This window comes from Homo sapiens, chromosome 12, assembly GCF_000001405.40.
Source record: "Homo sapiens chromosome 12, GRCh38.p14 Primary Assembly".
NCBI classification, from domain to species: domain Eukaryota; kingdom Metazoa; phylum Chordata; class Mammalia; order Primates; family Hominidae; genus Homo; species Homo sapiens.
In genome coordinates, this window is record NC_000012.12 from 89,517,982 (window position 1) to 89,541,542 (window position 23,561).

Consider the following 23,561-nt stretch of genomic DNA (forward strand, 5'->3'; position numbering starts at 1 on the left):
GTAGATATCACTCCCAGCCCAGCCTGGAAGATTGATAAAGCTTGGCACGAATGAAAAAGTAGTACCCCAATAATTATTAAGTTAGAAGGACTGCTCTAATTTTCCTTTTTTTTTTTTTTTAAACATGACACAGCATCAGGAGGTCCTGAGGACATGTGCCCTCTAATTTTCATTTCTGCTGTGGACAACTATACAACTCAGGAGCTCATTTCACCTTTTACAGTAATCTCCACCTCCTGTCCAAAAGGATTGATTGAAGTTTCTCTGAAATTTTAGGAAAAACTCCAATATAAACTGATTTCCAAGCCCCACCTAATACTAAGCAGACTGATTCATTCATATATATGTGTGTAACTTTCTTAATTCTGCAAATTACACAATGATTCAAGTATTATTAATACTAAATACTACTAGCCTGTTCTAAAGTCTAGCATGCACAGAGGCATGCAAAGAGGTCTAGCATGCAAAGAGAAATCTTTTCTGAGACACCTGAAATTCTCCAGCCTGCTTTTTTTCCTGAGGTATTTTTAAAAACTGAGATATTATTTAAATACCATAACATTTAGTCTTTTAAAGTACACCAGTGTTTTGCCCAACATTTGCACAACTTTTATCACAAATTCCAGAACATTCTCATAATCCCCTACCCCCTGCCACCTGCCAAAAATTCATCTCTGTTAGCGTTCTCTATTCCTCCCTTTCCCAGACCCTGGCAAACACTAATGTACTGTCTCTATGGATTTTCCAGTCTTTTTTATACTCGTGAAACTGAAACACAGAGAGATGAAGTGATTTACACAGAGCTGCAAGTCACTTAGAGAGTAAGGTTAGAATACAAGTATTTACAGGAACTTTTAAGTGTATAAAAATTAGTGAAAATATGTTTAGGTCACCTATATATATGCTAAATGCAGCTATAAGACCATCTGATTTTGTTAGAGTCCTTAGAAGAGTCATTCTCAGGCAGTGTGTCTGGCCAAGGAGAGACAGGGGTATAGGGATTTAGGAATCACTAAAGAGGAAGAGACAGGCCACTGGTGGAAGGGAATTTCATTTATGGACCGGGGAAATATGAGGATATGTGGTTTAGAGGACAGACATTTTTGTTTTCCACCCAGGGTAGTGAAATTGGTGCTAATATGTCCAGGTGCCCATTGCTTCCTTTTATAGTGGTCCAAGTGGGCCCCAGAGATCCCAGATCATTTCTAGTTTGCTCATGAGTAGTTAATAAAATAATGGTACTAACACCCCTTCAGAATACTTGCTGATTAATGACACGTTGTAAAATAATATGGGAATTTTGACTTTTTAAATATCCACTGTCTGAATTTTCAAATAAGTAAAAGAACTGCAAGCTGAACTTACTTCCATTGCCATTATAAATGTATACATAGGAGTATGTTCCCATAGGCTAAAATAATCACAATCTATTTGCAAAAATAATCAGGCACACTTTTTATTTTACATCTTAATCAACATTACAAATACAAAAGGAAAAAAGTCAGAAACAACTCATCACAGAGGAAAAAAACATCATTCAGAAGAGATTAATCTGAACTTCAACGTTCTTTGTGCTCATTTTAAAATTATTAAAACAGGAATTCAAAAGGACAAGCAAATAAAAACCAAGTATTTTATTAATTAAAATTGAGACCCTAAACCAACTAAGACTATACAACTTAAAAATAAGCTGTCTTCATCCTAGAAAAGTTTGATTTGCCATCTTATAATGAATATGCAGGAACTTACTAATGGGTAAGTAAACAAATTTTCTTTTACAAACAAGTTATTTTGAGTTATAGGGATCCTCCTGGTGACTAGATTTTTTTTAATGACTAAAAATGCCTATTTAGATAGTCAACCTATCCGTAAAGTTGGACACTAAATGACATAGTGAACATTTAAAGTTGAAACTCTTTGTCTACCAAATATTTTCCTAAAACTGTTTTTAAGCATATACATTAACTTAAAAGGTCAACTCTTAATTGTCTATAGCCAAAGAGAGCTTTGGTACCAATAAATTCGAATTAGGGAATCGGTTTTTTTAGATGTAGAATTACAGAGTATTTTTGGAATTAAATTGGAACGTGCCTAAATATGAAAATGTGAAAGTCCCACTTTTCTGTTATGTACTCTATTATGAGGAATGAACAGCCTAACTATACTGGATTATTGATATAAATAAAGCACCACTGTAAAATCTCTTCCTAAAAGATTGCTGGGTCACACCTAGCAATTTAGGGCAAAAAGTCAATAAAGAATTAAGGTACTTTATTTTTAAAAGCCTCATTTCCCTTTTGACAGGAGCATCAAGATACTAAAATAAAAATAATGTAATAAGTACTTTCAAAATATAACAATTTTCGTTCTCCCATATAACAGGTGGCTAACAAGAAAACCAAAAATAAATAAAAAGAGAAAATTTAAAAATAAGTAAAAAATAAAAAAATATTTTTAAAAAGCAGCCTGGGCAAGAGAAGTGGGTGGGTTTAGGAGAATCCCTTTCGAAAAATTCAGAGCATTATTATTAATCCTTCTTAAATTAAATGCAGGGCCAAGCATGCTGCACGTGGAATCTGGACAATTTTTTGATAAACTTTAAGGCTGCTAAATAATTTACAGAAACTGTGAATGCATTTTCATTTTACGAGGCAAAAGAGAAAATATTCAAGATTGCATAGCAATTTTATTTTTTGAAATGGTTATCCTAAAGAATTTCCTTAAATTCAGATTTTGCAAAATTCCTACTCTCCAAGTCATCAAGTGAACACTAAAAGCAACTTTACTCGTGAATACAGTGGACTCTTTACGAGGCATGCATTTTTCATAAATCTAGGCCAAAGTGAACTAATTGAGATTTAATTCTAAATTCATCCTGTGATTTCTGCATATAATATTGGTATAAAACCAGTAAAAATACTTTTAAAAAAAGCGTTTACTTCCCGAGTAATTTAGTTTGGAAATATTTACATTCTTAGTCAAAATATTACTTTCAGAGTCTAAAGGTTTTAAAAACAAAATTGGTTCAACAATTATCAAAACGAAACGACTATGAACACTGACTAGAACTTCTTAACCCACAGAAGTAAACCACTTCAGGTGAGTTCAGCTCACTTATTTTATTATTATTTTTTTTTTTTGAGACAGAGTCTTGCTCTGTCGCCCAGGCTGGAGTGCAGTGGCACGATCTCGGCTCACTGTAAGCTCTGCCTCACAGGTTCACGCCATTCTCCTGCCTCAGCCTCCTGAGTAGCTGGGACTACAGGCGCCCGCCACCACAGCTGGCTAATTTTTTGTATTTTTAGTAGAGACGAGGTTTCACCATGTTAGCCAGGATGGTCTGGATCTCCTGACCTCGTGATCCACCTGCCTTGGCCTCCCAAAGTGCTGGGATTACATGCGTGAGCCACCGCACCCGGCCTCCCCTCACTTAATTTTTAAAACCCATTTCTCTTCTCCAGCTTCACAACTGGACTGAACATTGCTCAACTGCTCAACAACATTACCTATGTCAAAAGTGAAAAGATAAAAAGTATTGTAAAGATTGCACAGTGAGTCAATCTGGGAAGAATATACTGTACAATCAGCATTTCAGAGCTGGAAGGGATCTTTAAGATCCAATCCAGCACCCACATTTTACCAATGAGAAAACTAAGCCCAAACACATCATAATAACTTGACCAAAGTTACATTCCTCAGCTGAGCCATTCATTCATTCATTCAGTCATTCATTCACCCACTTACTGAAAGCTGCCTAAGTGCCAGGCTCGGTGCTAGGAGATTGAAAGCACCATTCACAATTGCCAAGGCAGTCTTTTTTCCTTGCATTTTTAAGATAAATTCTTAAATTTCCTGATCAGCAGAACTCGTAGGAGAGTTCCACAGCCTTGGTAGAACCTAGCCCACTTTCAGTTTCACACATTTTAATAAACATAGTTGGGTTTAACTTCAGAGAGGCTTCAATTGTGTTTACTTTAAATGATTAAGCATTAACAAAGGGAGGCATAGTATTCTGGATGAGTCCCTTTCTAGTACATTCATAACTTAAGGAAGTGCAATCAGAAAATGCCCTACACACACAAACACGTTCACAGAGAAGACAGCTTACAAAATCAGAGGAATCTGAGGTATTAATATATACATCAGTGAAGTCCAATAGCTCAAGTTTACAAAGTACGGAATGTAAATATCTCCCCATTTCATTTAAATATGGGTATGTCTGCATGTTAAAAAGGCCTCCAAACTCACACTCAAACAAATGCCCTCTTCCAATTACACATATCTCTAAAACCAGGCCTTTTGCCTTAAGCTCAATTTTCTTTTTGATTAGAAAAAAATTAGATTAAAAAATAAAATCTAAAATTTAATGTGCTGGCTAAAAAAGAAATACAAATTCTATGTAATCAAAATAGCAATGGCTCAAACTGCACATTCATGAGTTTTGTTAAAAAGTGGGATGTGCGGTGAACTTACACATCAACATAAATCATACCTCATTTTACTTGGACCTTTACATTCTTTAATATTAAGTCTGGCACTTAAATGTTTTGTGTGTTTCAATTCATAGTCAACTTCTTTTAAGAAGAGACCATATTGACAAAACTCTTATATAAAACAACCAATAAGTAAGGCATTGTGAAATATTAAACAGCAGCACTCTGGGTACCCAGTTTCAGTGTGATATACCAAAATGAACCCCAGCTTTCCAGTGCTCCACAGATGACTGCTAGGTGGCTTTTGATAAAATAAAATACAATCTTCACTGAGGCTCTTAAGGCTCTTTGACTTTCTTGACACTACTGTCAGCTCATGACGAAAGTGCTGTTGTGCTCTATTTCTCAAAACTCCAAATTTGATTTTTATCTAGAGCATCACAAGTTCTCATTTGTACATCAGGTCGGCCCTCCGGTGTCCGATAAGCACTAAGACACAGTCCTGAGTGTGGGTGAAAAATAGTTCCATCTTCTTTAAAATGCCAAATAATGTTTGCTGGTACAGGGAACCCATCTTTGGGACAATTTTGCATTCCCACATAATTTTTTTGCTCAGGTACCTCTGCACATAACTCTGTCACAGAATTAAACCTTATTTCTTTGTTTGAAGTATATTCAAAGAATTGATTGCCTCCTTGACCATGGCATCCAAACAGTGAAAGGTTAGCACCTGTGGGGTTGTTGTCAGGAGAATTATAATCTAAACATTCAGACGAGATCCCTCTACTGCGAATAGCCCCATGCCAGCCTGGTCTATCCTCTGGAACATGTAAATTAGGAAAAACGTTTTTCAAATACCAGTCAAAGCTCTTGCATCTCAACCGCTCTCGTAGTAATTTTCTTTCAGAAATATCACCATAAGCTTCTTTTCTTGCTGGAGGGTTTCTATTGTAGAAGTGCTCTTTGTATTCATCCATCCAAACTTCTGCTGCCCGAGCAGTATTCTGTAGGAAATTGGGGCGAGCATATGGTGCCCGCTTGGGGAACACATGGCCCACGTGGGAACACGGGTGGATCTCCAATTTGCCACCACACTGCCACACCCTAAAAGACAGCTCAAGGTTTTCACCTCCCCACACTTCCATTCCTGTGTCATACGTTCCAAGGTACTGAAAATATTTCTTGCTGACAGCAAACAGTCCTCCAGCCATGGTAGGTGATCTGATGGGGTCAATTCTTGATATCCGCCTGTCCCTTTCCTGTTTGGGGACAGAATGCCACTGAAATGTTAAACGCCAGTCAAACCCACCAATCATGGGCTCCCCTATCTGCATATAGAATTCAAAAGTATTCCAATCAATTGTGTCTATAACAGGACACACAACTGCTGTTTCATCTCTCCCAATCCTTTCCAAAAGCGGTTCCAGCCAACCGGAATTACACTCACAGTGACAATCCAGGAAAGTGAGGACGTCCCCAGTGGCGAAAGTGGCCCCAATCAGACGGGCCCTAACCAGCCCCTCTCGCTTATTGGTCCTAATCAAGCGTACTCTATCAAGATTGCTGATGTAAGTTTCAAGTTGTGTCTTCAAATAAACTCTGTCACTCAAGTCATCCACCAAGATGATCTCTTTCAAAAGAACTGCAGGAGAAGTTTCTAAAACACTGTGAATGGTACGGAGCAAAGTCGACCAGGCTTCGTTATAGAAAGCAATGATAACAGAGGTGGTAGGAAGTGTCCTATAGTTGAACTTCTGGGACTTACACTCATACATTCTTTTATCCTCTATGTGTCGATGCAGGGAAATCCTGTCACTGAGGTAAATATTGATGGCGTATCTCTCAATGAGTTCTTCTTGCTGCTTCAGTTCATCCTCGTTGAGCTGGAGTTTGCTGGCTTTCCCCCACTCCCCAAGTGCACGGGAATCTGCAGGGGGCTTCTTATAAAGCGGTCGAGACAAATCCTCCGTATTTTTCTGGAGGTCTGAGAGCCTTCTTGACCCCAGCTCCCTGGCACGGCCGGCTCCTGCGGAGGCATGAAAAGTAGAGACCAAGAGCTCCACGAAGATATAGGCCACTGTTAAAAACGCCAGCAGCAGGCAGCTCTTGCCTGCCCAAGTCCACCTCACCGCCATCCGGATTCTCAGGGCTGAGGCGCAGACGCGGCCACCAAGCCACCACGCAGGGGAAGGGCGGCGGAACCCACAGCTCGAGCTCAGGTACTTCCCAGCAGGTTCTTCCTTTCATGCAGGCGCTAGGCTCCTTTCCAGCCACCCAGGCTTTCCAGGGGTCACCTGAGCCCTCTCGGTCCTCGGCCTCCGGCACAGCCCAACTCCTCTCTCCCTACTTCCTCCTGCTCGGCTCACAACTTTTCACAAACTCTCCAGCCAACACCCCACCCTCCCCGGGCCGAGGAGAAACCCCTCCCCTTCCCACTCACTCCTCCTGGTGGTTAGTTTGCGAAAGTCGTCCGCCAGGCCCAGACCGCTGGATAGGAGGCTCTTGGCCGGGCCGGGGGCTGGGGGCCGGGATGGCAGAGGGGGCCCTAGCTGCGCCCCGCCGCGCTGGGCCCTCGTCTCCGGGTGCTCTCAACCCTCATACAGGCCCTTAGCCGTTCTCCTAGGGACCCTGCCCGGACAGGAGGAAAGGTTTCCGGCCCATGGAGTTTAGTCTCATTACAAAAGCAAAACAAGAATAAGACTTACCAAGTTGCTTGCCGTTGGGGCTGAGGTCCAAGGAGGTGATCGCAGCTTTGTGGCCTTTGAAATAACGCTCCAGAACGGGGTCCTCCTGGAAAGGAAAGTTGTCAAGTTTTGAAAGCCGCCGCAGACCTCGAATTCTGGCGGCTGGGATCCACGCTGCCACTTCCCCGGAGTCCGGCTTGGGAATGGCCACCCAGGCGGCGGCTTGGCTGGGCGGCGGGGCCGGGCAGCAGCCCACCCACGGGCGCGGCGCCCAGTCCTGCTACAGGGAGACGCCGGCGCCAGCTCTCCCCGCAGAGCCCGCAAAACGCTCTGTTCGCGCTTCCCAGAGTCCAGCGCATCGCAGGAACCGCGGCCCCTTTGAAATGCACGTTCCCGGGCCCCGCCCGCTGGCCCAAGGCAGGCAGGTGCGAGGATGCGCCTCGGCTTTGGTACTTTTTTTTTTTTTAATACTTCCTAGGTGATTCTGACGCAGGCGCTCCACGGAAACCCTCCGAGAATTCTGGGGGCCGTGGGGCCGCCCAGCTCAGTCCGGAGCTCCGGAACTCGGGGAAGAGCGTCCGGGAGCCGGGTCTGGGTTCCGCACTCCGTCCGCCCCGATGGCAGAGAGTGAGATACGGACGCCCCGGGACGAGGGGCTCAGGACCCGGCTACGGACACCTGCCTCCATCTCCCTCCAGGTGCGGCTTCGGCCCGGACCTGGCCCCGCAGCCCGCGGGACAGGCTCCAGGGAGGGACCCCCCCCACCTCCAACCCGTCCTTACCGTGGCTGAGGCCATCGGGGGAGTGGTCGGCCCAAGGCTCCTGTGGGTGGGGGAACCCGGAGAGGGGAGGGGAGAGGATGGGGAAGGAGAGGGGACCGTGCGGCTCCCGGAACCGTCTGCCCAGAGCGGCAGCGCCTCCCGGTCACTACAACAACGGCGGCCCAGTCAAACCCCGCGCTCCAGGCATGGCCAGCCGAGCCCCGAGACACCGCCAGCCCTGTAAAGAGAGGACGGGAGGTATGCGCCGGGTCAGCTGTGGCCACACACCAAGCCATGTTAACTAACACTCGCGTTCTCCCTGGTTTGATGTCAGGAAGTGGGGTAGTAACCAGGACTGGAATAAGAGCGATGAATGGAAGGGCGTTGTGAGCCTGTGATCGATGCGATCAGAGTTCTATTACGTTTTAAAGAGACAGCACCCGTGACGTTTAAGGTGATCCCCTACCGCTTATTTTGTTGACGTAAAGCTTTGACATGAAGAGGGGCAGCTTGCTAGTTATTAATATACTAAAAGGAACTAAATCCCCTGAGGGCAGATTTGAATTTATTTAACCACTGTTTTCCACACAGTGCCCTGCAGGATATTGATATAGTTGCTGGATGTGCGTGATGAATGAATGAGTGAATGAATGAATAAATGTTGTGCATGCACTTAATAATTTTCTGCGATATGTTTCCATTCTCATCTGCTTATTTGCGTATACCTTAGAGCACTAAACTTACACAGCTGGATACTTAAAGTCTTTAGGAAGACTTGGAAACATGGTTTTTTTTGTTTGTTTTTTGTGAGACCACGTTTCTACAGCAGGCTTTGTTACACATAGTATCATTTGTGCTTCAGCCAAACAATGAAGTTGGTAGAATTACAAAATGTTTTCAATGTTTCCAAGTTATAAACTTGATTCCTAGATATTGGTCTTAGAGGTCACACAGAGACAGTTCTTCTAATTCCAAGTCCATATCCTTTTTTTTTTTTTAACCCTGCCTCAAAGCGTGATGTTCTGAGCTGAAAATTACATATAGTGTAAAGATCCTTAGCAACATCAAAGGGCATGATAGAACACAGCTGGTAAGACATGTGTTTTATGCAAATGAAAGGTATGCTACACACCTTAATTACAGATTCCCTAGTTGTCTAGTGATTGAGTTTAATTTTATTGAATATGGTACTTAACAACTAAACAGGTAGGCTTTAGATTACAGTATTAGTTAATTTAAGTATACACTTGTTAAATATCTGTTGTATGTTTGGCCTTGAGGGACACAATGATGACTAAGATATTTCCCCTACCTTCAAGAACTCAGCAATCTAGGGTTGGTGAGTCTCATGCTTTAGCATTTGTAATGTTGATTTGGGGGCTCCATTTCCAGAGATGCTGAATCAACATATACAAGGTGGGATCCAGGGCCCTTCTGATGTAACAAGCTCCATAGATGATTACTATGGGAGTCTCAGCTGTCTATGTTGAGAAACACTGCATTAGTCTAGGAGATGATATGTTAAGAGTGTTGATATCAGCAACTTGTCAGCAAACTGTTGCAGGACTCTTAGTTTTGCTACATATTACCAGTTTAGGCTTGATTTATTTTAAAAGCCTGCCATGTTTAAAACTAATGCTGGATACTGGTGGGAATGTAAAATGATGTAGCTCTGTGAAAAAGTTTGTCAGTTCCTAAAAAGTTAAACATACAATTACCTTATAATCCAGCAATTTCACTGCTAGGTATATCCCATAAGTATTGAAAGCAGAGACTCCAACAGATGCCAGTGTTCAAAGCAAGCATTATTTACAATAGCCAAAAAGTGGATACAATCCTAGTATCCAACAGATGAATGGATAAACAAAATGTATGTGATATATACATATAAGGAAATATTATCCTGCCATAAAAAGAAATGAAATTGTGATACAAGCTATAACATGGATGAACCTTGAAAACATTTTGCTAAGTGAATAAGCCAAACACAAATGAGCATATATTGTATGATTCCATTCATATGAGGTACCTAGAATAGGTGAATTCATAAGGACAGAAAGTAGAATAGAGGTTACTAGGGCTGGGGGTAAGGGAGACTGGGGAGTTACTGTTTAATGGGTGCAGAGTTTCTGTTTGGGATGATGAAGTTCTGGAAATAGATAGTGGTGATGTTTGCACAACATTGTGAATGTACTTAATGCCAGTGAATTGTACACCTAAAAAATGGGTAAAATGGTAAATTTCATTACAGGTATTTCACCCCAATAATAAAATAATAATGCCAGAAGCTGAAGAGTAATCAGGACCTCAGGATTACTCATAGGTATGTTACGTCTAATATTGGGCACAGGAGAAGCAGAAAAGGGAAGAAGTTGGAGATTTAGAAACTAGCTCACAAGAAGAAAAAATATAGATTTTTATTTAAGTGTTTTAGTAAAAGTTTAGCTTTTACTTTTTTTCTCAATTATCAAGAAACACATGTTTTAAATTTAAAAGATGGGAGGGAAACTACATATTAATCCTATTACCTAAAGTTGATCTTAAAAAATTTGTCACCTACTGATATGGTTTGGATTTGTGTCCCCACCCAACTGTCATGTAGAATTGTAATCCCCAGTGTTGGAGGAGGGGGCTGGTGGGAGGTGATTGGATCATGGGGGTGGATTTCTCCCTTGCTGTTCTGAGTGAGTTATCACGAGATCTGGTTGTTTAAAAGTGTGTAGCACTTCCCCCTTTGCTCTCTTCCTCCTGCTCCAGCCATGGAGCAGCCATGCTCTCTTCCCCTTTGCCTTCCACCATGTTTGTAAGTTTCCTGTGGCCTCCCCAGCCATACTTCCTGTACAGCCTGCAGAACCATGAGCCAATTAAACCCGCTTTTTTTGTAAATTACCCAGTCGCAGGTAGTTCTTCATAGCAATGTGAGAACGGACTAATATACCTACCTATGTTTTCACTACATGCCAGGACTTTTCTAAGTACCTTACAAATTTTGACATTTAGTGATCATAACGATCTTATTAGAGATGTGCTATTATTACCATTTCCGTTTTATAGATGAGTAAATTGATATGCAAAGACATTAAGTTACTTGCCCAAGGCACACTGCTAACTAGGAAGTGGCAGAGTTGAGATTTTTAGACACTCGCAGTCTGCCTCCAGAATCCACTCTCTCTTTTTTTTTTTTTTTTTTGAGACGGAGTCTCACTCTGTCGCCCAGACTGGAATGCAGTGGCGCGATCTCGGCTCACTGCAAGCTGCTCCGCCTCCCAGGTTCACGCCATTCCCCTGCCTCAGCCTCCCGAGCAGCTGGGACTACAGGCGCCCGCCACCAAGCCCGGCTAATTTTTTTTGTATTTTTTTTTTAATAGAGACTGGTTTTCACCGTGTTAGCCAGGATGGTCTCAATATCCTAACCTCGTGATCCGCCTGTCTCGGCCTCCCAAAGTGCTGGGATTACAGGTGTGAGCCACCTCACCTGGCCCAGAATCCACTCTCTTAATCACTGTCATGACTTTTGTGTGATTGCAAGTGTTATGTAAATGTATAAAACATTGCATTCTTGCCAAGGTTTATAATAATAAGTTTTACAAAATGAAAGTAATATCTCCTTTATTTTCATTCCACTGTCCTCATTTATTACTCTAAACTGCCCTTCCCATTGTTCTTTTCCATAGTATTTGATTTTGTTCTTTTCGGCTTTTCTTCACCTTTGCAAATAGCAAAAGCTCAGAGGTAGACAATTGGAAATGTGGTCAAAGTTGGGGAAGTTTTTTCTAACCTCAAGCCTAATTCCACTTGCTACAATGATTATTTAGACCTCTCTGGACTGCAACCTAATCATTTATGTGGGTGGGAGCCACAAGCAGGATCAGTATTTAAAAACCTACAAGGTTTTACTGGAGGCCGGGTACTAGCTAGGACAAACTGACCTCTAATTAGCCCTTCTTATACAGTTCCCCCTAAAACAGAAATTGAATGTACTTACTTGAGCATTATAAAGAGTTATTTTTATTTTAGCACTGGTTCTTCCTTGGCCTTCAAATTTGGAAATTCAGCATAGTACAAAAGTGCCATCTACTGTTCACCTTACTATATAGCACTTGGAGTGAACATATTTTGAGCCTGTTTACAGGCAATGGAACTCCCTTGTTGATACACTTCCTCCAAAGTATAGGAGAGCACATGGAAAAGTACAAGATGGGTTTGAATCAATAATGAATTACATTTTTGAAAACTGCATGATTCATTTAAGTTAACATTCAGTCTCCAAGTCCTATCAACTACCTCCTCACCATATATATATATATAATATATATGATGGGCTGCCCAGGCTGGCCTTGAACTCCTGAGTTCAAGTGATCCACCTGCAGCAGCCTCCCAGGTAGCTGGGATTACAAGCATGCTCCTCATCATATATTTTATCTTCCTATCTTTCTGTCTAATGGCTCCTGTCACTCCACAGACCCTGCCTTCTGCCTCCTAGAATATTTTAGTAACCACCAACTTGCTTTCTGACTTCAAAACTTCTCCCCTCCACCTGTCCACCCTGCATTTACCAACAAATAACATAAGATTCACCAGGGTATCTTGCTAAAAGTAAATGTTTTTAGGCCTCACCCCAGAGGTTTTGATTTAGAAGGTCTAGTGTGAATACTAGAAATCTGTTTTCAAACAAGCTTTCTAGGTGATTATAATATGCATCAACATTTGGGAACCACTGGCATATCATGCCATAGATCTTTAAAATGCACTTTAAGTTCACTTTTAAATGCCTCAAACCAAGTCCTATTTTATATCTAACCACTCATCTCCCCTGGGCCAATCCTTAAGCCATTGCAGTTAACCACACACACCCACCCTTTGGAGCCTTTGCTAGAGCGGTTTCTGTACTCATGAATGCCTGTGCTACTCTCTTGCTCCAACTTCTACACAAAGAAACATACCTCAGGACTTGGGAAGATATGTTCATGTAAAATCATCTTTCTCTGAACCTATTCCTCCTTATAAAAATAAAACATTATTTTTCCTTTGGGTCCTGATGGTATGAAACTTAGAGTTCTTTTTAGCACTATTTTATGTTGCTGCCTTTACATCTACATCATGTTTATGTGTCTATCAGCACTTAACTGTAGTGAAAGGTCAGTAAAGATAAGAACTGTGTTCTACTCATTTTAGTATCACTCTACAGGCACCACAATCCCTGACACATAGTAGGGGCATAATAAACATTTTCTGCATTGATTGAAAGATGACAGTGTGGCTGGCCAGCTCTATAGTTACTGAAAAAGTCTACAAAATAAATAGAAAACATGATCATTGTCCTCCAATAATTTAAAGTATCTTGTAATTTTATCGATACACTCTATTTGTACATTATGGGGTACATGTGAAATTTTGTTGCATGCATAAAATGTATAATGATCAAGTCAGCGCATTTAGGGTATCCATCACCTAAGGATTTATCATTTCTATATGTCAGGTACATTTCAAATTTTCTAGCCATTTTGGTACAGTGCATTATTGTTGTGTATAGTCACCTGATTCTGCTATCAAATATTAGAACTTATTTCTTCTATCTAACTGTATGATTGTACCTGTTAACCAACCTGTCTTCATTTCCCCCTCCCACCCACACATCCTTCACATTCTCTGGGAGAAAGAGAATTATCATTCCACTCCTCTCTATCTCCATGCGATCAACTTTTTTAGCTCTCATATATTAATGAGAACGTGTAATATTTATCTTCCTGTGCCTGACTTATTTCACTTAACATAGTGTTCTCCAGTTTTATTAATGTTCCTGCAAATGACATGATTTCATTCTTTTTCATGGTTGAATAGTATTCCATTGTGTGTGTGTATATATATATATATGTGTGTGTGTGTGTGTGTGTGTGTATGTGTGTATATATATATACACACACATATATATATATATATATATATATCACATTTTCTTTATCCATTCATCCATTGATGGGGATGCTTAGGTCAAACAGCTTAAAATCTAATTAGGGAAACAGGACTCACCACATGAAACAATCAATGAAAGTTATGTGGAGCAGTAGGTCAATCATAACCATGGGAATGTTACAAAATATCTGTATAATAACCATAGTATTGTATTTCTATAGTGTCAAATGTACTTAAGACATTTGATTGGTCTTTGGAAATGTTTTTGTATCAGGAAAGACTTATAGGGGAAGAAGGACTTCAATTGTGATTTTTTAAAGTGGTAGAATTAGTGGATTAATGATTGCCAGAGACTAGGGGGAGGAAAGAATGGGGAGGGATTACTAATGAAAAAATGGAATCTTTTTAGGGTGATGAAAATGTTCTGGAATTAGTGGTGATAGGTTTACAACTTCAAAGTACTAAAGACTACTGATTTTTATACTTAAAGCCACTAGATCAATGGTTCTCAAACCTTAGCGGGGATCAGAGTCACCCAAAGCACTTGATATAATGCAGATTCCACTCCAGAGTTTCTGTTTCAGTCTGTCTGGATTGTGGCACAAGAATTTACATTTATAATAAGTACAGGTTCCTAGGTATGATGCTTATGCTGACAGTGAACCATCCTGTAACAATCAGCAGAGTAAACAAAAAGGTAGTAAGGAGAGAGACAGAAAGTGGAATGGGCCGGGCGCGGTGGCTCACGCCTGTAATCCCAGCACTTTGGGAGGCCGAGGTGGGTGAATCACCCGAGGTCAGGAGTTCGAGACCAGCCTGGCCAACATGACGAAACCCCATCTCTACTAAAAATACAAATATTAGCTGGGCGCAGTGGTGGGCACCTGTAATCCCAGCTACTCGGGAGGCTGAGGCAGGAGAATTGCTTGAACCCGGGAAGCAGAGGTTGCAGTGAGTGGAGATCATGCCATTGCACTCCCGCCTGGGTGACAGAGCAAGACTCTGTCTCAAAAAAAAAAAAAAAAAAAAAAAAGGAAAGTAGAATGGTGTTTGCCATTTGCCAGGGGCTGTGGGGAGAGAGCATGGGGAATTATTGTTTAATGGGTGCGTGGAGTTTCAGTTTGTGAAACTGAAAAAGTTCTGGAGATGGACTGTGGTGATGGTTACAAAACAATGTGAATATATGTAATATAATTGGACTATATACACTTATAAATGGTTACATGGTAAATGTTATGTGTATGTTACTTCAATGAAGAACATAGGGGTAAACTGTTGAAAGAATGCACATTAGTAAAGGCATCACAGTCATGGGATGAACTTCAGTACAATGGAAGCCTGGTTCCTTACAGGACTGTACTGGTACGTGGCCCAGGGGTTGGGAATCCCTGTCCTAGACCACTATATTTGCTGTGGCTCTGCCTTCCAGTCATTTTCTATCCCATTATTGTGTTTTACTTTCTTCATAGCACTTGCTAGTTCTTCCACCATGAATGCTCTTCCCCCAAATGGAAGGCACTGCAAGAATTGACAGATTCTGGCATTATTGGAGTAGCAGCAGTAGAAACATAAAGAGATATTTGTTTAGGTATGGCATAATTAAAATGAACAGGGGAAGGGGGGCCAGGAAAAAAAACCCAGAAACACTTAGATGCTGTCCTTGGTCCTGAACCAGCAGTACCTGGTGAATGGCTATCTTACTTATCCCAAGAATCTGGTAACTTCTCTTCTAGGGCTTAGACTTTCATTTTTACCCTTTTACCAAAAAAAAAAAAAAAAAAAAAAAAAAAAAAAAAAAAAAAAAAAGGGCTGTAGCTTTTAGTGTCTCCAAAAAGTCAAATCATGGTAATAATTTACAATTTACCTAGCCAATTCCATGTAGTTTGACAGTTGTAATAGGTTTCTACTTAGAAAAATTTTTCTGTTCCCACTAGAAAGAAAAGAGGGTACATTCCCCCATTCCCTCTCCATCTCAATCCTAAGATTATGCATTTGTGATGTGAAGCATCACTCAGACCTTCCAAGTGACTGTAGTGAGAGAGATGAGGGCAAGATGGAACTGATGATGGCTAGCAGGTCTTGGCTAAGATGTCACTCCTCAAAGAGGCTTCCTAAAGTCCCCAACCTTTATGGCACCAGGGACCAATTTCATGGAAGACAGTTTTTCCATAGATAGGGGAATGAGGGGGAGGGATGGTTTCAGGATAAAAGTGTTCCAGCTCAGATCATCAGGCATTAGATTCTCATAAGGAACGCACAACCTAGATCCCTGCATGTGCATTTCACAATAGGGTTCACACTCCTGTGAGAATGTAACACCTCTGCTGATCTGACAGGAGAGAGAGCTCAGGCCATAATGCTGGCTCTCTCGCCTGCTGTTCACCTCCTGCTCTTCAGCCTGGTTCCTAACAGGCCATGGACCGGTACCGGGTACATGGCCCAGGGGTTAGGGATCCCTGTCCTAGGCCACTCTATTTGCTGTGGCTCTGCCTTCCAGTCATTTTCTATCCCATTACTGTGTTATACTTTTTTCACAGCCCTTGCTAGTTCCTCTGCCATGAATGCTCTTCTCCCAAATCTTTTCAAGACTCACTTCTTTCATTTCACTTAGTTCTTACCACATTTTCAAAATAAGCACTTCCTTTCATTCTCTATAACATTACACTTGTATTTTTCTTCAAACACATATCCCTCCCAGGTAAAAAAGGACAAACAATTTTGATAGACATTTCACCAAAAAGTTATATAAATAGCCAGTAAGCATATGAAAAGATGCCCAACATCATTAGGCAATAGGGGAAATATAAATCAACATCACAAAACCTACTTCATACCCACTGTGATAGCTATAATCAAATAGCCTGATAATAGTAAGTGTTGGTGAGGATGTAAAGGAATGGAAACCCTCATAAATTGCTGGTGGGAATGTAAAATTGTATAGCTCTTTACACAGGAATGGAATTGCTGAGCCCTATGGTAATTCTTTTGACTTCTTGAATTTGGGAGTTCCTTTAAAAGTTAAACATAGGGTTACCCTATCAGCCAGCAATTCCACTCCTAGGTAGGTACCCTTGATAATTGAATACATATGTCCACACAAAAACGCAGACACAAATGTTCATAGCAGCATTACTCACAATAGCCAAAAGTGGAAACAATCCAAATGTCTATCGACTGATTAATGGGTAAATAAAATGTGCTGCATCCATACACATTTATATGCCTGGCAAATAAAAGGAATGAAGTACTGATTCATGCTACAGTGTGGATGAAACTTGAAAACACTATGCTAAGTAAAGAAGCCAGACACAATGTATGGTTCCATCCATATAAAATGTTCAGAATAGCCAAATCCATAGAGACAGAATATGGATTGTGTGCCAGGGACTGGTTTCTTCTTGGGGTGATAAAATATTCTGGAATTATATAGTGGTGACAGTTCTGCAACTTGATAAATGTACTAATAAACCACTGATTTTTATACTTAAAAATAATAAGATTTTTTTTAAAAAAAGCAAGCATAAACAACCACTTATCTCTCCCTGAAATATACATTCTCTATGAGTAATCCCCATGAGAATGAGGGCAAAACCCTCAGAGGGAGTATGTCAGAATCACTTGTGGGACCATCACCAGGATATAAACTCCATGAGGGCAGAGACATTCTCTTTTTAATCCACCATATATCAGAACAATGACTGGCACATAGTAGGTACCCAATAAAATTTTGTGACTTAATGAGGGAATAAAAGAGGAAGAGATAATATCTGTGTAAAACAATTAGAGGATTTTTTAAAATCTTAAAAGTCTTCACTGTGTATTACAATAGAATTGTGATTTTAGTAGAAGGAAACTAGATTCTTTTAAAGATTGGTTCTTCTATCTAAAAAGAAAATTCCAAATCTCAACAGTGTCTAACATAATATAAGAATATATTTTAAACTTGGCCACCCTAGGGTTTCTTCTCAATTATAAAAACTACTGTAGTTTACTTCATTTAGTGATTTTTTTTTTTTTTTTTTGAGACAGAGTCTTGCTCTGTCGTCCAGGCTGGAGTGCAGTGGTGTGATCTCGGCTCACTGCAACCTCCACCTCCTGGGTTCAAGCTATTCTCTGCCTCAGCCTCCTGAGTAGCTGGGACTACAGGTGCGCGCCACCATGCCCAGCTAATTTTTGTATTTTTTAGTAGAGATGGGGTTTCACCATGATCACCAGGATGGTCTTGATCTCTTGACCTCGTGATCTGCCCACCTCGGCCTCCCAAAGTGTTGGAATTACAGGTGTGAGCCACCATGCCCAGCCCTCCATTTAGTGATCTTATACAGAGCCATTTTCGTTGTATTTATTTTATTGAGAAAACAGCTTTTATTCTATAACCTTGTAACCTTGCTCACTAATTGGTGGCCCACTGACTGAAACAAGTCCACTGATATGTTTTGTTTGGTCATTAATGTGTTCAAACATTCTTTAAAATTTAAACTCCTATAGGTGAGCCAAATATTCAATTTGACTCAGTACACTTCCTTGTGTTATTTTTGTACATGGTCTGATTCACAGGCATAAATGATCTCCCTGGCCCTTTGTATCAGTCACGAAGGTCTAAGTTTTGCTGCTGAAACAACCCCCAAATCTCAGTGGCTTAAAATAAGGAAGTCTTCTATTTTCTGCTCGCATTATGTTGCCATCAGAAGTCAACTAAGGGCTCAACTCTCAGGTCCTTGTTATCCTCACTTCAGGACATAGGCTGTCAGCGAAGCCACTGTCAGAAACATTATTGGTGACTGGCAGCTGGAAAAGAGCAGATGATGCCCACGATGGCTTTCTAAGATTTCCTTGACCAAGGAAAGTCACATATCTGGTAGAGACATATAATTCTTCCCCATGAAGAAAGTTGTGGAAAGTTATACAGTCTAACACTTGGAGGAATTTGGATTGAATATTGAATGCAGTTCAATATCAAGACCTTTTCTACATGAAAATCAAGAAATGTTTGTCAGTTTTTCAAGCATTTGTATTCCCCAACACACGTGAAGGTTAATGCACTCAGAGCTTTGATTCTCAGTTGAGGCCACACACCCCTGGATGAGGTGAGTGATGGGTCATAATCTTTATTTTGTTTTGGGGACAGAGATTGAAGGCAGAAAACATAGGCTTGAGTTTTATTTTTTATTTATTTTTATTTTTAAACTATTTTAGAAATGGAGTCTTACTATGTTGGCCAGGCTGGAGTGCAGTGTCTATCCACAGGTGCTCTCATAGCACATTGTAGCCTTGAACTTCTGGGCTCAAGTGATCCCCCTACTTCAGCCTCTGGTGTAGCTGGGACTACAGACATGAACCACCATGCCTGGCTTGAGATTTTATTTTATTTTTAAATAAAGGCCCCACAGGTGATTCTGGCATATTGCTCCAAGATGTTGTGTCCTCATTCCCACAAGGATTACTGATTTAGAGGCTCACAGCTTTCTGAGAATGCCAGATTCAGATAAATAACTAAAGATCAGAATGAAAACATTACAACCCAGACATCAATGATCAATAAAGGATTCAGCTATGCTGTTAGTGAAAAAGTTAAGTACTAGCACATTTTCAAGTTAAGATGAATAAGTAATTGGGAAAAGAGAGGAGACTGGAAATTTCCATTAATTTCCATAAAATAAGTGACATTCATTTTAGAAGTTAGCACCGCAGAGGTAATGTAGATATTATTACCATCTCCTCCCTGACAGATAGTGTTTATTACAAGTTAGAGCTATATCCCTCCATCTCCTGACCTTCCTAAGGTTTAGGTAAACACTCTTATCAAAAGAGGGAGAAGGAACACAGGTCAGAGGGCGGTGTCGTGGTGTCTTTGCTTCTCCAGCCTCACAGACCTAGTCTGAATCTCATGGAGAGAAAGGACTCAGGAAGCAGCAGAAGTAGCAGGTTTTTAAATTGAGTCTGGTGAGACAGTTGGGCACAGGCTGCTATGCTTGTGTAACCTGGAGGCAAAGTAGGAAACAGATTGGCAGAGGAGTCATCCTTCTTCCAGGACTGCATAGACCAGAGCATGGTGTGAACACAGTGAGGACCACAAAGACTTTGCCTTGCTGGATTGTAGTGAATTACCCAATTCAACAGAGTAATTTAAATGAATGATTCTCAACCAGGGACAAGTTTTCCCACATGGGACATTTGGCAATGTCTAGAGACACTTATGGTTATCACAAGTAAGAGTGTAGGTGCTACTGGCATCTGGTGGATGGAGATCAGGGATGCTGCTAAACATCCTACGATGCACAGAACAGCCTTCAAAACAAAGAGCCAACCCCAAATGTCAATAATACTGATATAAGAGGCCCATATTTAAATGAAAGCACTTAGTACAGTGCCTGGCATTTGTTAAATGCTTAATAAATGTTGATTCACCATGGGTTGATCTCCTGGTGTCCATAAGGTTTTAAATAATTGTCAATACCCTAAAATTAACCATATATAGTATACCCAGATTTCTCCATTACAAGATGTACTTTTTCAAAATCACTTTTTAAATTTCTTGAATTGGCGTGAGATGTAATAATTGATATATTTTCCCCTAAGAAGCTGTTATCAAATCTCAAATCATGGTGCATGTCAGTTGATGGCATCTTAAAGTCCTGAAAAAGGGCCAGGAGCTGTGGCTCATATCTGGAATCCCAGCACTTTGGGAAGCTGAGGCAGGCAGATCACTTGAGGCCAGGAATTCAAGACCAGGCTGGTCGACATGGCAAAACCCCATCTCTACTAAAAATACAAAAAATTAATCAGGTGTGGTGGCATGCACCTGTAGTCGCAGCTATTCGGGAGGCTGAGGCATGAGAATCAATTGAACCCAGGAGGTGGAGGTTGCAGTGAGCCGAGATGGCGAGATGGTGCCACTGCACTCCAGCTTAGTTGACAGATGAGATTCTGTCTAAAAAAACAAAAACAAAAACAAAAAAAAGCCTCTTGAAAAAGCTATGCTTCTAGGCTTCTATTACCTTTATTAGAAGAGGCATTTTCAAAATACTACCTGGGAATGTGACGAAGTAACCTATTCGTATATTAGCTGACTTGTTATCACCAGTTACATAATTTTAATCGACTGTTCTGCTGCTGACTAATACTGCTGTCAAATTCTGCACATATTAATCTTTCTCTGTGATGAATATTCAGAACAAAAGAAAATAAAAAACATTAACTTTGGTAGAAATCCTAGAGAGCAAGCGTTTCTCCTTCCTTTTAGAGATGAGAAATCAAAGGTTCATGAAGGCGTATTAACTGGCTCAACTGTATTCAGCTAGTCAGCAGTAAAGCCACGCCTATTAAGTCAAGGGTCCAGAATTCCAGCTCAGATCTGCTCCTCAGATAATTGCAAATGTGTACTCTTTATTCAAGTTGCGCTCAGCAAGAGGTTGTTACTCTTTATTCATCTATGTGACTAGTGATATTTTCTATGGAATATGATTTTGGTCTTCAGGCTATGTTTATATAATCATTCCATCAATGTTATTGAACATCTTACTATGGGCCAGGTAGTATGTTAGGTATTGTACTTATAAAAATAAGTAAAAATGACTACAAGGGTAAAAAGCTCACTTACCTTCTAAGCCCAAGTGGATAACAAAACTGGTTGAGGTAGGGTTGCCAGATACAATATAGGGTGCTTTAACTGAATTGCATGAGTTGCATTGGACCTACTTACACTAAAAAGTAAAAATAAAATAGTTGTTTATCTTTTCTGCACATTTAAACAGGCTTCTTGCATTCATATTTGCTAAATGCAGCAACCCTAACTAGCTGGGAACTGGGGAGAGCTAGAAAGTACATGCTTTATCTAAAGGGAGCAGCTACTACCTCCCCTCCCCAACCCCTCTCAGGAATCATTGCCACAAGGCATGCAACCCCAGTGAACTCATTGAAATTATCATGATATGCTGGAAATCCAGAACTCTAGCTAAAAGCTCCCTAATATTAAAAGTTGTAAACTGATTTGAAAAAAATTTAAAGACTATGTGGGCCAAAGGAAAAAAAAGAAAATAATGTCTGTGGATTTTGATGGTGTTTAAGCAACCTCCAAAATAAGACTTCTCTTTCTCACCCGAATGTGGAACCAGTTAAGCCACACAGGTTTCAGGCAGATTAAGGTCAAAATGTCAGCTTCGATACTGATGATGTAACCATAAAGGATTTGGCTTAAGTGTACAACCAAATAGGCTTGCTAGAAAGCTCCCGAATTGAACTAACCATCCTCCCCACAAATCAAGCCCTTCACCCCAGCAAGGCAGAGCTAACCCTCCAGTCAAGATAGTAAACTACAATATTCCCCTCCTTGCAGATAACACAAGTGTGAAGAGAGGGGAGAGCAGCAAAGGCTGAGCTGCGTGTGCCTGGTCCCTTCCAGACTTTCCAGATAACTTTGCCCCACGGAGGACAAGGAAAGCCAAAAGAGAGAAGCCAGGATTGTTAGTCTTGGAAAATGCCTCCATATAGAAACATGAGCCGGAGAATAAATCACTTGCCTCTCTAACCAGTTGGATTTGGTCCGTGAGTTCCTAGTTTTGTTCACCTGACTTAGTCCCTGACTTTTAAAGTCAAGTGCATCAACATGCTGCCAGTACTTTGATGAACATCTATACAGGATCCATCTCTACAGCAGTGAATTCCACCTGGGGTAAAGTATGCATGTAGGTTAGGATGCTACAGTGGGACTCTGTCTGCTTTTTCTGTCTGTTTCTGCTAAGGCCTCCACACATTAGATGGTCAGTACTCTTTGTTCTATGGGAAGGGCTAGAATACCTAAACAGGACTTTCACGGAGGGAGCAACAAACCAGTTTTGTGGCTCTCAGCAAACATCCATCTCAAAGGTGAGTTTGGAAATAATGGAGAGTATGTCAGTGTGTTTGTGTCTCAGGCCTACTTCCCACGCCTATGGGGGAAGGGTGGGACTTATCTCTCTCTTCCCTCAAGCCTGCTAAGAGGAGATTAGACTATATTTGAGATAAATACCTCCAGCACAGTGACAGCCATGCAGCTCATGCCTGTGAAATCAAAAGGCAAGAGGATGCGGCTGGCTGGCTGCTCTGAGGGCAGAGAGAAAAGACCAGACAGCTCTTGGAACAGACTGTTCTTCCAGTGACGATGGGGACAAAGATGCATGAGTGTATCTCCAGGACTGGATGTGAGCTGCATGGGAGAAAAAGAGTGCAGGCCTGCAGCCCGGGAAAACCCAAAAGGATGCCATAAACCCAACAGGAAGATGGGTTGTCAGGGCCCCAGGAGCTGAGAAAGGAATAAAAATGACAGAGAGAGAAAAGTACATTGTCCACATCATAAATAACACAGCTGAATGTGCCCAATGAGGTCCTCAGAGAACCCACAGAAGTGCCCATGGGAACAGTTCTCTCTGGGACTCAAACCCAGGGAGAGGTGCTTTTAAACATGCAAAGAGAGGGAACCATCATCATATTACATTGCAGTGTCCACATGAATAAGACCCTAACTTACCTCATATTTCTCCTCCTTCCTCTGCTTTAATCCAGGAGGAGCCAGAGACCTCTCAGTAAGTGAAGAAGAGGGGAAATAGGTAAAAAGCCACTATTCCCCATGTTAGATGAGGAAATAGGAACATTCTCCTCCTCTACCCAACACCCACTGTAGCTTTTAGTGGCTGGAGTCAGGAGAGAAAAGTTTTCATGTTAAATGAATTTCAGAGGTTTGACTATGACATAGAAATGGATATTTTAATTACTGAAATAAAACTGTTTTGTAA

The 23,561-nt window shown here is 41.0% G+C and overlaps 4 protein-coding genes and 1 long non-coding RNA gene across 17 annotated transcripts in view, besides 3 other annotated features; 1 reads left to right on the forward strand and 4 right to left on the reverse strand.

The window, feature by feature from the left end:
* The window catches only part of POC1B-DUSP6 (POC1B-DUSP6 readthrough), a 177,983-nt gene extending 169,917 nt beyond the window's left edge, over positions 1-8,066 (reverse strand). For all 6 annotated transcript variants that reach the window (NR_189588.1, NR_189589.1, NR_189587.1 and 3 more), the window contains exons 1-2: positions 7,900-8,066; positions 7,139-7,223 (exon numbers count right to left, since the gene is read on the reverse strand). Coding sequence is in view for 2 of the 6 variants with exons in the window: in NM_001425795.1 (NP_001412724.1) it covers positions 7,139-7,223; positions 7,900-7,914 (100 nt within the window). In the remaining 4 variants the exon portion in view is untranslated. The remainder of the gene's footprint in view (positions 1-7,138; positions 7,224-7,899) is intronic.
* The window catches only part of POC1B (POC1 centriolar protein B), a 124,581-nt gene extending 116,515 nt beyond the window's left edge, over positions 1-8,066 (reverse strand). For 5 of the 7 annotated variants that reach the window (NR_037659.2, NM_001425773.1, NM_001425772.1 and 2 more), the window contains exons 1-2: positions 7,900-8,066; positions 7,139-7,223 (exon numbers count right to left, since the gene is read on the reverse strand). Coding sequence is in view for 3 of the 7 variants with exons in the window: in NM_001425772.1 (NP_001412701.1) it covers positions 7,139-7,223; positions 7,900-7,914 (100 nt within the window). In the remaining 4 variants the exon portion in view is untranslated. Of the gene's footprint in view, positions 1-7,138; positions 7,450-7,899 lie in introns of those variants that run through there. The other 2 variants (NR_037660.2, NM_001199777.2) reach the window with 1 other exon arrangement.
* Positions 1,431-6,815, reverse strand: GALNT4 (polypeptide N-acetylgalactosaminyltransferase 4). Its single transcript, NM_003774.5, has one exon. It carries the CDS (start codon positions 6,566-6,568, stop codon positions 4,832-4,834), a length of 1,737 nt encoding a protein of 578 aa, NP_003765.2. The 5' UTR covers positions 6,569-6,815; the 3' UTR covers positions 1,431-4,831.
* On the reverse strand, positions 1,431-8,281 carry POC1B-GALNT4 (POC1B-GALNT4 readthrough). Of its 2 annotated transcripts, none has more exons than NM_001199782.1 (3): positions 7,900-8,281; positions 7,139-7,223; positions 1,431-5,692 (listed from the first exon to the last, which is right to left on the reverse strand). In NM_001199782.1, exons 1-3 carry the CDS (start codon positions 8,172-8,174, stop codon positions 4,832-4,834), a joined length of 1,221 nt encoding a protein of 406 aa, NP_001186711.1. In that variant the 5' UTR covers positions 8,175-8,281; the 3' UTR covers positions 1,431-4,831. The 2 variants fall into 2 exon arrangements, with proteins under 2 accessions (NP_001186711.1, NP_001186710.1); NM_001199781.2 differs by having other exon boundaries at positions 1,431-6,459; positions 7,900-8,066.
* Positions 6,532-6,741: an enhancer, noted in NCBI's record as "active region_6707". NCBI's record gives its function as "activates an Ori minimal core promoter by ATAC-STARR-seq in GM12878 lymphoblastoid cells {active_cell/tissue: GM12878}" and the evidence as "EXISTENCE:reporter gene assay evidence [ECO:0000049][PMID:35858748]".
* Positions 6,832-7,211: a silencer, noted in NCBI's record as "silent region_4693". NCBI's record gives its function as "represses an Ori minimal core promoter by ATAC-STARR-seq in GM12878 lymphoblastoid cells {active_cell/tissue: GM12878}" and the evidence as "EXISTENCE:reporter gene assay evidence [ECO:0000049][PMID:35858748]".
* On the forward strand, positions 7,589-23,561 carry POC1B-AS1 (POC1B antisense RNA 1). Its single transcript, NR_146294.1, has 2 exons — positions 7,589-7,815; positions 22,127-23,561. It is a non-coding gene; the product is annotated as a POC1B antisense RNA 1 (long non-coding RNA).
* Positions 7,762-8,021: a silencer, noted in NCBI's record as "silent region_4694". NCBI's record gives its function as "represses an Ori minimal core promoter by ATAC-STARR-seq in GM12878 lymphoblastoid cells {active_cell/tissue: GM12878}" and the evidence as "EXISTENCE:reporter gene assay evidence [ECO:0000049][PMID:35858748]".